The following is a 13,473-nucleotide window of genomic DNA, read 5'->3' on the forward strand; positions in this document are numbered from 1 at the left end:
AAGGAGAAATTTGGCTTGAGGAACAGTTAGGGAAAGCTCTTTACCTATGCTTGATATGTTTTTTTTTAAAAAATAAGCTTAAAAAGGGGGAAAGAATAAAGAAAAGTACTGAATAACTATAATTTGTATGAATAATAGATAATGGGAAGATGGTTAAGTATAATTGAGGTGATTTTTAAAAAATATGGTAGATTTTTCTTCCACTTGCCTTTCTGAGTATAAGCCTTTTTTCTTAAGTGGCCTGAAGCATCCATTTTCCTGGAAGGAGGTAAAGATTTGTTGTAGAAGGAACGAACCAAGAATATATCACATTGCTTTTGGCGCAGTGAGCCAGTATCTTTATAAACCAAACTGATGGTTTAAAATGGGAACTTTTAAGTTCCTTACTCTCCTTTTTTAACCTTTAGGACTCAGTTAACATTTTTGCAGTGTAGAAAATATTTCCTGGATTAGCTGGAGTCTGGAAAATGTATATGACATAGGGGAAATAAGAGATAAAGAAAAGGTAAAAAGGACAAGGGCACAGCAGTCAGACTTGTTTGTGTCCCAACTAGGAAGAGGAACACTGAGCATAAAGAGGGTCTCTTCCACCTATGAGTGAGTGAGAATATGCGGTGTTTGGTTTTTTGTTCTTGCGATAGTTTACTGAGAATGATGACAATGAGAACACATGGACACAGGAAGGGGAACATCACACTCTGGGGACTGTTGTGGGGTGGGAGGAGTGGGGGAGGGATAGCTTTAGGAGATATACCTAATGCTAAATGACGAGATAATGGGTGCAGCACACCAGCATGGCACATGTATACATATGTAACTAACCTGCACATTGTGCACATGTACCCTAAAACTTAAAGTATAATAATAATAAAATAAAAAATAAAAAAAATAAAAAAAAGAGGGTCTCTTGCCCTCACTTCCAATGTGACACTCTAGTATGCGTTCAATTAGGGGCTATCTGCATCAAAACACACCTGGCCATGCAGTACGGTCAGGCAAATGAAGGCTCTGAGGTGTCTCCAAGCTTTCCTTGATTTGTAGGTGGCATGCACACTGAAGGGGCCTGCCGTGGGAACCATTATGGTAGAACAAGTTAATCCCACCACCACGGAGGTGGGAGCAAACTACACTAGGCAATAGAGGCACAAAGAGGACATGAGAGAGACCTCAAGACTATGCACTCAGGGAAAGCTGAGTAATATTTAGCCAGCTGAACGTGCCAGGGAGGATTCTCAGGCTTTGAACAAGGCAAGAGAGATCCAGGTGCAGGCTATAGGTAGCCTTCAACATAAATGCCAGCAGAGCAAGCAGCTGCCGGAGTTATCACCAAGGTGGACCAGAGATATCACCATGTGACAAGAGCAGAGGATTCTAATATTCTGCTCCTTGTATTAGGCACATGAAATCCCAGCACGTGCAAGCGCGCGCACACACACACACACACACACACACACCATTTTACCCAGATAACATTTTTTTTTTTTTTTGAGACGGAGTCTCTCTCTATTGCCTAGGCTGGAGTGCAGTGGCGCAATCTCAGCTCACTGCAAGCTCCGCCTCCCGGGTTCACGCCATTCTCCTGCCTCAGTCTCCCGAGTAGCTGGGACTACAGGCGCCCACCACCACGCCCAGTTAATTTTTTTGTGTGCTTTTAGTAGAGACGGGGTTTCACCGTGGTCTCGATATCCTGACCTCGTGATCCGCCTGCCTCGGCCTCCCAAAGTGCTGGGATTACAGGCATGAGCCACTGCGCCCGGCCCAGCTATCATTTTTAAAATAAGCTGAAGTGGAGATGTGAAAGAATGAGAAATCTGAGATGATGGGATTTTTTTTTCTTAAAGGGACTGGGCATTAGTTGAAAATGACTCTTTAAATTATTATATTTCAATGAGGTTTAAGCAGAGAAGACTAAAACTTCTTTTCCCTACCAGAAAGTGGGGAGAGAGCTTTAGAGAAAGGCCAAGCTAGATACAGAGAAAATAAAAGAGTTGCATTTTCTCTGCACATGATTTGTTCTGTGAAATATTTTCGTGATTCTGCTACATGAATTGATAGCTGGAGTTTAGGAAACACTGCAATAAGGTTTAGCACAGACCAGCTGGCAGATGCAGATGATGCCTTCCTGGCCCAGGTTCCAAAGCTTACCCAGAAATTAAATATATTTCAGATATAACCTTTCACTTTTCTGGAAAACAATTGGAAGTACAATTCAGCAAAGATCAGAATATCTGACAAGGTTTTGACTTGCTGTGCTAAGAAATTCGCCTCCAAAACAGATCTAGGTGCAGCTAGGGGACTTGCTACTATTCTGGACCTAATTCTGAACAAAATAGAGGGCTTGGGGAAATCCACAAACCATGAGAGAAAAACTCCATGTTCTCTCTGGCTCATTCAAGTCAAGAATAGAACACTAATACTAATAATTAATACATCCATGACCAGCGTTTCCCAAAGACAGTTTTATGAAATATAAGCCCTAAGAGATGCTCCTTGCAAAAAGAGTTCTGCAGTCTCAAATATGAAAGTGAGGCCAGGTGCAGTAGCTCACACCTGTAATCCCAGCACTTTGAGAGGCCTAGGTGGGTGGATCACCAGAGGTCAGGAGTTTGACACCAACGTAACCAACATGGTGAAACCCCGTCTCTACTAAAAATACAAAATTAGCCAGGCGTGGTGGCACACACCTGTAATCCCAGCTACTTGGGAGGCTGAGGCAGGAGAATTGCTTCAACTCTGGAGGTGGAGGTTGTGGTGAGCTGAGATCACACCACTGCACTCCAGCCTGGGCAACAGAGTGAGACTCTGTCTCAACAACAACAACAACAACAACAACAAACCACACACACACACAATATGAGAGTGAGACTCATACTGTTTTCTCCTCTTGAAGATTCAAAATACACATGATGTACTTATATGTACTAAAGGCTCCAAGAACCTTACCTTCGTTTTTTTTTCCTTACCTTCATTTAACCTGATGTTTCCTAACTTATTTAGCTTCAGAATATTTTTTTTTCTTTCTTTTTATTATTATTATACTTTAAGTTTTAGGGTACATGTGCACAACAGGTTAGTTACATATGTATACATGTGCCATGCTGGTGTGCTGCACCCATTAACTCGTCATTTAGCATTAGGTATATCTCCTAATGCTATCCCTCCCCCCTCCCCCCACCCCACAACAGTCCCCAGAGTGTGATGTTCCCCTTCCTGTGTCCATGTGTTCTCATTGTTCAATTCCCACCTATGAGTGAGAAGATGTGGTGTTTGGTTTTTTGTTCTTGCGATAGTTTACTGAGAATGATGATTTCCAATTTCATCCATGTCCCTACAAAGGACATGAACTCATCATTTTTTATGACTGCATAGTATTCCATGTTGTATATGTGCCACATTTTCTTAATCCAGTCTATCATTGTTGGACATTTGGGTTGGTTCCAAGTCTTTGCTATTGTGAATAGTGCTGCAATAAACATACGTGTGCATGTGTCTTTATAGCAGCATGATTTATAGTCCTTTGGGTATATACCCAGTAATGGGATGGCTGGGTCAAATGGTATTTCTAGTTCTAGATCCCTGAGGAATCGCCACACTGACTTCCACAATGGTTGAACTAGTTTAGAGTCCCACCAACAGTGTAAAAGTGTTCCTATTTCTCCACATCCTCTCCAGCACCTGTTGTTTCCTGACTTTTTAATGATTGCCATTCTAACTGGTGTGAGATGGTATCTCATTGTGGTTTTGATTTGCATTTCTCTGATGGCCAGTGATGGTGAGCATTTTTTCATGTGTTTTTTGGCTGCATAAATGTCTTCTTTTGAGAAGTGTCTGTTCATGTCCTTTGCCCACTTTTTGATGGGGTTGTTTGTTTTTTTCTTGTAAATTTGTTTGAGTTCATTGTAGATTCTGGATATTAGCCCTTTGTCAGATGAGTAGGTTGCGAAAATTTTCTCCCATTCTGTAGGTTGCCTGTTCACTCTGATGGTAGTTTCTTTTGCTGTGCAGAAGTTCTTTAGTTTAATTAGATCCCATTTGTCAATGTTGTCTTTTGTTGCCATTGCTTTTGGTGTTTTAGACATGAAGTCCTTGCCCATGCCTATGTCCTGAATGGTATTGCCTAGGTTTTCATCTAGGGTTTTTATGGTTTTAGGTGTAACATTTAGGTCTTTAATCCATCTTGAATTAATTTTTGTATAAGGTGTAAGGAAGGGATCCAGTTTCAGCTTTCTACATATGGCTAGCCAGTTTTCCCAGCACCATTTATTAAATAGGGAATCCTTTCCCCATTTCTGGTTTTTGTCAGGTTTGTCAAAGATCAGATAGTTGTAGATATGTGGCATTATTTCTGAGGGCTCTGTTCTGTTCCATTGATCTATATCTCTGTTTTGGTACCAGTAACATGCTGTTTTGGTTACTGTAGCCTTGTAGTATAGTTTGAAGTCAGGTAGCGTGATGCCTCCAGCTTTGTTCTTTTGGCTTAGGATTGACTTGGCAATGCGGGCTCTTTTTTGGTTCCATATGAACTTTAAAGTAGTTTTTTCCAATTCTGTGAAGAAAGTCATTGGTAGCTTGATGGGGATGGCATTGAATCTATAAATTACCTTGGGCAGTATGGCCATTTTCACGATATTGATTCTTCCTACCCATGAGCATGGAATGTTCTTCCTTTTGTTTGTATCCTCTTTTATTTCATTGTAGCTTCAGAATATTTTTAAAGTATATAAATAGCCATGGACATACAATGGAATGAAGTGTATTAATGATACACTTTGGGAAGTGCCATATTGTGATTCATTTTAATTCTGACAAAAAAAGACATGAGTATAATTTCATGGTTTTAGAATCAGGAAAAAAAGTGACTCAAGAAGTTTGATAAAGCAGTGGCATCACTAAGCGATGAATGATAAATAGGTTTTACCTCTGCCCTTCTCTATCAGCCACTTCCCAAACCACCCTAAACACATCTGCAGTCTTGGTAAAAGCACTGAGATTGAAAATGCCCCTAGCAGTCCTCGACTTAAGCCCATGTTATAGCAATTCTGATGCTACTATTGAACAGGCCAGTACTGTAATTATAAATAATCATAATAGCAGGGGTAAAGCAGAGGTATTAAAGAAAGCTGGTGTAGTTACAAAATTATCTCTCTGACGTTCTAAAATTAGAATAGAGTATATTGAGCAAATGGCAGCCCTTATAAACATCAAGGCAGGCATTTTGTAACACAGTGCCTAGCATAAAGGACATCTCTAGTAAATATTAAATAAATGAACGACAGTGTAATGGCAAATACATTTATTGTGGTATTTGCCTAATAATGACACATATTAATGACACATAAGCATAATGACACATACTTTCAAAGGTCTAGGTCCCATTGAGAGCAAATAATCTGGATCATCCTGGATGGAAACTGGGTAAGTCTTTCTTTTTCTTTCTTTAGAGGTAGCAGAGAGACATGGCTTAACAGGAGACTGAGAGGGAAAGGTGAATCTTTGTTTTGTTTTGTTTTTGAGACAGAATTTTACTCTTGTTGCTCAGGCTGGAGTGCAATGGCACCATCTCGGCTCACTGCAACCTCCGCCTCCTGGGTTCAAGCGATTCTCCTGCCTCAGCCTCCCGAATAGCTGGGATTACAGGCATGCGCCACCACGCCTGGCTAATTTTGTATTGTTAGTAGAGACAGTGTTTCTCCATGTTGGTCAGGCTGGTCTTGAACTCCCAATCTCTGGTGATCTGCCCGCCTCGGCCTCCCAAAGTTCTGGGATTACAGGCATGAGCCCACCGTGCCCGGCCTGAAAGGTGAATCTTTTAGGAGTGGAAAGGAGAAAGGTGAGTTGGCAAAGTGGTTGAGACTTGTGCCCAAATCCCATGAAGCATCCTAGAGGTATTGGTGTATTGAAATGAGTATACCTGTGTGGATGACACCAAAGACCATGTTAAATGCTAAGGGTCCTTCAGATCATTCTGACTTAGAGGAACTATAGCACCAGTAGCACCACATAGCTTTAAGAGCATTTAAGTTTAGGCATTTAAATTTAGGCAACATCCTCAGCAGTGACTATGGAATGATTACCAGAAAGGCCTCTAATCTACTGCCCTGCGCTATTCAATCCTGGTGCAACCAAATGAGGAGAAAGACATGAATAAAAATAGAGATTCAATAAACTATTCACCATATTTGACAAGTGGAGGTCTTGGAGCCACATTTGATTTGATTTCAAAAAACGAAACACAACAATTCTGTACATTAGGTGTTGTGGGAAAAATTTACATTTGATCCTGAGCATTTATTCATAATTAATTTCAGATAAAGCATATTATTTGCTGTCTGGTGTATATACTTTAAGACCTCACATTGTATACTGGCAGCTTCAAAATCTTCACCAAATTTATATAAAACCCCACTGTTAAACTTGCCTCTTGAAGTGTTGATCTGGTTTATGTAGTCACCTATGACAGTATAAATATTGCCATTGTCGTCCTATTCGGTTTGATAACTTTCTTTGAAAATTACACTAAATGTGACCTTGATCTTCAAGTCTTAAAATTAATTTCAATTGAATGTAATCTAACTTGAAAATTTGAGAAATGTTTGTATCTTGCTCAGAATCTTTCAGGCAAGGGATGAGGGTAGGGAACAGAAATTTACTTCTTTAGTGGATAGTATCTGTACCCATATTTAGGAACCACTGATACAAATTATCTGAAGAAACAACAGTTTTCTCTTTTAAGGGAGCATAATGCCTTCATGCAATTTGATATATATTATTGAATAATTCTATTCTACTTCTTAATTGTGCAGAAATACAGAGGTGACAGAGGATATACTTCTTTTACAATCTATTATTGAATACACTACATCCCCAGATTCTAAGATAAAAATCAGTGGGCAATTCCATACAAGAGAAATGACAGGGAATAGAAGAGCTTTCAAAAAACACGGAAACAGAAAGGACAGGTTGCCCCTGACAACAGTTCTCTCCCACAATCCCTCCCTCATTTGTAATGGCAATAGTGACCACAAGGAGACACTTCCTTCAGAAAAATTCCTTCACATTTGTAAAAACAGGTGTCTCTGGTAGGCACCTGGGTAGCTGATTGCAGGATTAACAATGAATAAAACAGCTCTGCATATAATCGAACTACCCTAGGTTCGGACATAGAAATAAATTAGACAAGGATTAAAATTATATTTTAGTTATCTTTGGGTGATTTAAATTTCTTTTATTTATTCATCTGTACTTTTCCTGTGTAAGCATATTTATTTTTATAATCAGAAAAAAATAAGAATAAAAGAAATATAAAAATCGTTCAAAATGTCAGTATTAGACTTCACCTTCCAGCCCTGGTGAAATGACTGATTTCAGATTTGCCACCTAGCCATAAACAACTAGAAAACTGAAAGAAAAAGATGAAATATCAAACAGCTGTTTCAGATATTAGATAATAGACAATAGAGGACTTTGACCCAGGGCATAAGATAAATAAACGTGGTGAGGTATACAATTGCCTCAACATTCTGTTCGGAGGTTGTATTAGTCCATTTTCATGCTGCTGATAAAGACATACTGGAGACTGGGAAATTTACAAAAGAAAGAGATTTAATGGACTTACAGTTCCACATGGCTAAGGAGGCCTCACAATCATGGCAGAAGGCAAGGAGGAGCAAGTCACATCTTATGTGGATGGCGGCAGGCAAAAAGAGAGCTTGTGCAGGGAAACTCCTGTTTTTAAAACCATCAGATCTTGTGAGACTCATTTACTATCACAAGAACAGCGGAGGAAAGACCCAGCCCCATAATTTAATAATCTCTCACTTGGTTCCTCCCATGACAGATGGGAATTCTGGGAGTTACAATTCAAGATGAGATTTGGGTGGGGACACAGCCAAACCGTATCATTCTGCCCTTGGCCACTCCCAAATCTCATGTCCTAACATTTCAAAACCAATCATGCCTTCTCAACAGTCCCCCAAAGTCTTAACTCGTTTCAGCATTAACTCAAAAGTCCACAGTCTAAAGTCTCATCTGAAACAAGGCAAGTTATTTCTGCCTGTGAGCCTGTAAAATCAAAAGCAAGTTAGTTACTTCCTAGATACAATGGGGGTACAGGCATTGGGTAAATACAGCCATTCCAAATGGGAGAAATTGGCCAAAACAAAGGGGCTAGAGGCCACATGCAAGTCTGAAATCCAGGAGGGCCGTCAAATTTTAAAGCTTCAAAATCATTTCCTTTGACTCCATATCTCACATTCAGGATGCGCTGATGCAAAAAGTGGGCTTCCACAGCCTTTGGCAGATCTGCCCCTGTGGCTTTGCAGGGTATATCCCCCCTCCTGGCTTCTTTCACGGGCTGGTGCTGAGTCTCTGTGGCTTTTCCAGGCACATGGTGCAAGCTGTCAGTGGACCTACCATTCTGGGGTCTGGAGGACGGTGACCCTCTTCTCACAGCTCCACTAGGCAGTGCCTGAGTAGGGATTCTGTGTGAGGGCTCCAACTCTACATTTGTCTTCTGCACTACCCTAGCAGAGGTTCTCTATGAGGACCCCGCCCCTGCAGCAAACTTCTCCCTGGGCATCCCGATGTTTCCATATATCCTCTGAAATCTTGGCGGAAGTTTCCAAACCTCAATTATTGACTTCTGTGCACCTGCAGGCTCAACACCACATGGAAGCTGTCAAGGTTTGGGACTTCCACTCTCTGAAGAAACATCCTGAGCTGTACCTTGGCCCCTTTTAGTCACGGCTGGAGCAGCTGGGACACAGGCCACCAAATCCCTAGACTGCACAAGGGAGAGGGACCCTGGGCCAGGCCCACAAAATGACTTCTTCCTCCTATACCTCTGGGTCTGTGATGGGAGAAGTTGTGGCAAAGGTCCTGACATGCCCTGGAGACATTTTCCCCATTGTTTTGGGGATTACCATTTGCCTCCTTGTTACTTATGCAAATTTCTGTAGCCTGCTTGAATTTCTTCTTAGGAAATGGGATTTTCTTTTCTATTGCATTGTCAGGCTGCAAATTTTCCAAAGTTTTATGCTCTGTTTCCCTTTTAAAACTGAATGCCTTTAACAGCACCCAAGTCACCTCTTGAATGCTTTGCTGCTTAGAAATTTCATCTGCCGGATACCCTGAATTGTCTCTCTCAAGTTCAAAGTTCCACAAATCACTAGGGCAGGGGCAAAATGCCACTAGTCTTTTTGCTAAAGCATAACAAGAGTCACCTTTGCTCCAGTTCCCAACAAGTTCCTCATCTCCATCTGAGATCACCTCAGCCTGGATTTCATTGTCCATATCATTATCAACATTTTGGTTAAAGCCATTCAACAAGTCTCCAGGGAGTTGCAAACTTTCCCACATTTTCCTGTCTTCTGAGCCCTACAAACTGTTCCAGCCTCTGCCTGTTACCTGGCTCCAAAGTCACTTCCATGTTTTCAGGTATCTTTTCAGCAATGTCCCACTCTTTTGGTACCAATTTACTGTATTCGTCCATTTTCATACTGCTGATAAATACATACCTGAGACTGGGCAATTTACAAGAGATTTATTTAATGGACATACAGTTCCACATGGCTGGGGAGGCCTCACAATCATGGTGGAAGGCAAGGAGGAGCAACTCACTCACATCTTATGTGGATGGTGGCAAGCACAAAGAGAGCTTGTGCAGGGAAACTCCTGTTTTTAAAACCATCAGATTTTGTGAGACTCATTCACTATCATGAGAACAGCGCAGGAAAGACCCATCCCCATAATTTAATCATCTCCCGCCAAGTTCCTCCCACGACATATGGGAATTCTGGGAGTTACAATTCAAGATGAGAATTGGGTGGGGACACAGCCAAATCATATCACAGGTACTTTCAGACTGTGGCACAGAATGGAAGACAAGAAGCAAAACATAACAATCTTTATCAGTTGGAAATACAGATGTTAAAGTTTGAAGAAGCAGATGCATATGGAATTTGTGGGAAATGGTTCTGGAGACAAGATTGTTGAGCTACAGAGAGAATGAATTTGAGAAATCTTCACAGAAGTTTTGCTGAGAATGTTGCTGAATACTAAAATGTGCATGTGTAAGCTGAAACGTCATGATGCTGGGTAAAGCACTTATGGAGAGCTGTAAACTGAACTATTCCTACAGCATACAACAGGGCTGGAAGTCATTCAAATTCTAACCAGTCAAAGTGGAGATACTTTGTTGAAAAACTGGAGCATTCAGGCAACTTCTGGACAATCACATTTTAGTAGAGGTGAAACTAGACTTAAAGTAAAGGATACTTTAGATCCATCCTAACAAAATTGATGTGAAAGTTATTTAACTGTCTGACAAAACTAAGTTCAACATTTCTTAAAGATACACAGTGGGATTCTGATATTTAACAATATAAAATGTTCAGTATTCAATCAAATATTCTTCACCATGCAAAGCAGTAAAAGAAGAAATACATAGCCAGGAGAGAAATCAGCCAATGGAAATGTTCAGAAATGACAAAAATTACTGTATTAAAAAACAATTTTAAATAATTATTATATATATGTTCAAATATTTGAAGGAAGTCATGCACACTATGAAGAGGTAAATGGGAGGTTTAAGTTGGAAACAAAAAGAAGTTGTAGAGATGAAGAATACAGTATCTGAAACAAAATATTTAGAAGATGGGTTTAAAAGCAGTTTAGTTACTGCAGAATAAAAGACGAAGGTGCAACAATAGATGACTCTCCAAACTGCACTTGAGAAAGAAAAAGAACTTAAAAAATCAGAATCTTAGAAATCTGCAGGACAATATAAAGCAGGTTTAACATGTGTGTAATCATATTAAATGCACTTAGAGAAGACAGAAAATATATTTGAAGTTGATTTATTTTTCTTAATTTCATGAAAACTATAAAACCATAGACCCACAAAGTTTAACAAACATAAAAGACTATAAACAATAACAGCAACAACAAAACACATCAAGATACATTGTAACAAAATAGTTGAAAACCAATGATAGAGAAAAATTATAAAGCAGCCAAAGGGGGGAAAATAATAGCTTTCATACAAAGGAAGGAAGGTAAAAATACATATTCACTTCTCATCAGAAACTATGCAAGCCAGTAGGTGATATGACATCTATAAATTACTGATAGAAAAGTGCAACCTAGAATTCAATATACAGAAAGAAACTCCTTTTAACATCAAGAGAAATAAGATTTCTCAGACAGACAAAACTGAATTTTTCCAGCAAATATGTATGTAATACTAAATATGTGAAAGAAAGTTCTTCAAGTGAGAACACAAGGATACCACAGAAAACCCTGGATCAACATAAAAAGATTAGAGCAGCAGAAATAATAAGTATGTGCAAAGATATTCAGAATTCTTTCCTCATTGAAAAAAGTTAAAGTTAAATTTATTTTAAAAATAATTGACTATAGCAAGTAAAAATAATAATATATCTTGGGATTTAACATATGTAGATTTAAAACGCATGACAAAAACAAGGGATTTGAGGAGATAACTGGAAGTACGCCATTGTAAGGATCTTACATAACACTATATCTATATATGGCATACATATATATATGCTATAGTGCTATATGACTTTAAGATAGATGGGCATAAGTTAAATGGGGTATGTTTTAAACTCTACAGCAACCACTGAAAACACTGAACAAAAAGTATACCTAAAAAGTTAATATTGGACATGAAATACAAGAAAAAGGCAAGAATAAAGGAATGGATGAACAAAGAATAGTTGAAACAAGTAGAAAACATATACTAAGATGGTAGAATTAAACTTAACCCTATCAAAAATCACACTGAAAGTGAATTGTCTAAACACAAGTAAAAGGAAAACACTATTAGACTGCATATAAAAGCAAGACCCTACTATGAGCTATCTACAAAAATCCTACTGTGATGTCCTTAAAAACCTGCCTCTTAAATCTCTGAGTGCAGTAAACATAATTGAACAAAGTCCCCAGTTGCCATGCTGTAAAATTCATCATATTCATGCCACACTTTCCATGTGCTGCTCACAGCCTATGACTGAATGCAGCAAAAATACTAAGTTAGGCCCAGTATTGTTAGGCACATAAATCCTCTAATAGGCAACATTGACTCAAGAACTGTCCATTGCCTTTGCAGAAATGGCCAATATCTGAATAAATATAAAAGAAATTGCCAATATGTGGGAAAATATAATATAATATTTTTCTCCTCTTAAATTTTTAAAAAATATTTATCACTGTTGAAAGCAAAAAATATTATGTAGTGGAGTTTTCAATGTATATAGATGCAGTAAATATGATGACTATAACTTAAAGGGGGAAGGTAAATAAAAATATGTGGTTGAAAGGCCTATATTTCACTGGAGGTTGGTAAATGTTAAGTTGACCGTGAATGGTTAAGTATGTATATTCTAATCCATTGAGCAAATACTAAATATTAACAATAATATGAAGAGGTATAGCCAAGAAGTCAATAGATAAATTAAATAGATATATATACATATACAAAAGGCCGGAGTGCCTCTTCTCCTGCAAATTATCACAACATCTCTACAGCAAGGGTACAGAACTGGATGTAGGATGAGATAAACCAATTGACAGAAGTAGCCTTCAAAAGATGGGTAATAAAAAACTATGCTGAGCTAAAGGAGTATGTTCTAACCTAATGCAAAGAATATAAGAACCTTCATAAAAGGTTAGAGGAGCTGGGCGTGGTGGCTCAAGCCTGTAATCCCAGCACTTTGGGAGGCCGAGGGGGTGGGGGGCGGATCACGAGGTCAGGAGTTCGAGACCAGCCTGACCAACATGGCGAAACCCTGTCTCTACTAAAAATGCAAAAATTAGCCAGGCATGGTGGTGCACACGTGTAATCCCAGCTACTCAGGAGGCTGAGACAGGAGAATTCCTTGAACCTGGGAGGTGGAGGTTGCAGTGAGCTGAGATCATGCCACTGTGCTCCAGCCTGGGTGACACAGTGAGACTCTGTCAAAAAAAAAAAAAAAAAAAGTTTAGAGGATATCCTAACTAGAATAACCAGTTTAGAGAGGAACATAAATGACCTGATAGAGCTGAAAAACACAGCACAACAACTTCGTGAAGCATACACAAGTACAGATAGCCAAATCAACCAAGCAGAAGAAAGGGTATCAGAGGTTTGAGACCACCTTGCTGAAATAAGTCATAGAGACAAGACTAGAGAAAAAAGAATGAAAAGGAATGAACAAAGCCTCCAGGAAATATGGGACTTTGTAAAAAGACTGAACCTGCAATTGATTGGAGTACCTGAAGGAGATGGGGAGAAGAGAAACAAGCTGGAAAACACACTTTAGGATATTATCCAGGAGAACTTCCCCAATCTAGCGAGACAGGCCAACATGCAAATTCAGGAAATACAGAGAACACCGCTAAGGTACTCCATGAGAAGATCAACCCCAAGATATATAAACATCAGATTTTCCAAGGTTGAAATGAAGGAAAAAA

The sequence above is a fragment of the Homo sapiens genome, chromosome X, assembly GCF_000001405.40.
Source record: "Homo sapiens chromosome X, GRCh38.p14 Primary Assembly".
In the NCBI taxonomy this organism is placed as follows: Eukaryota; Metazoa; Chordata; class Mammalia; order Primates; family Hominidae; genus Homo; species Homo sapiens.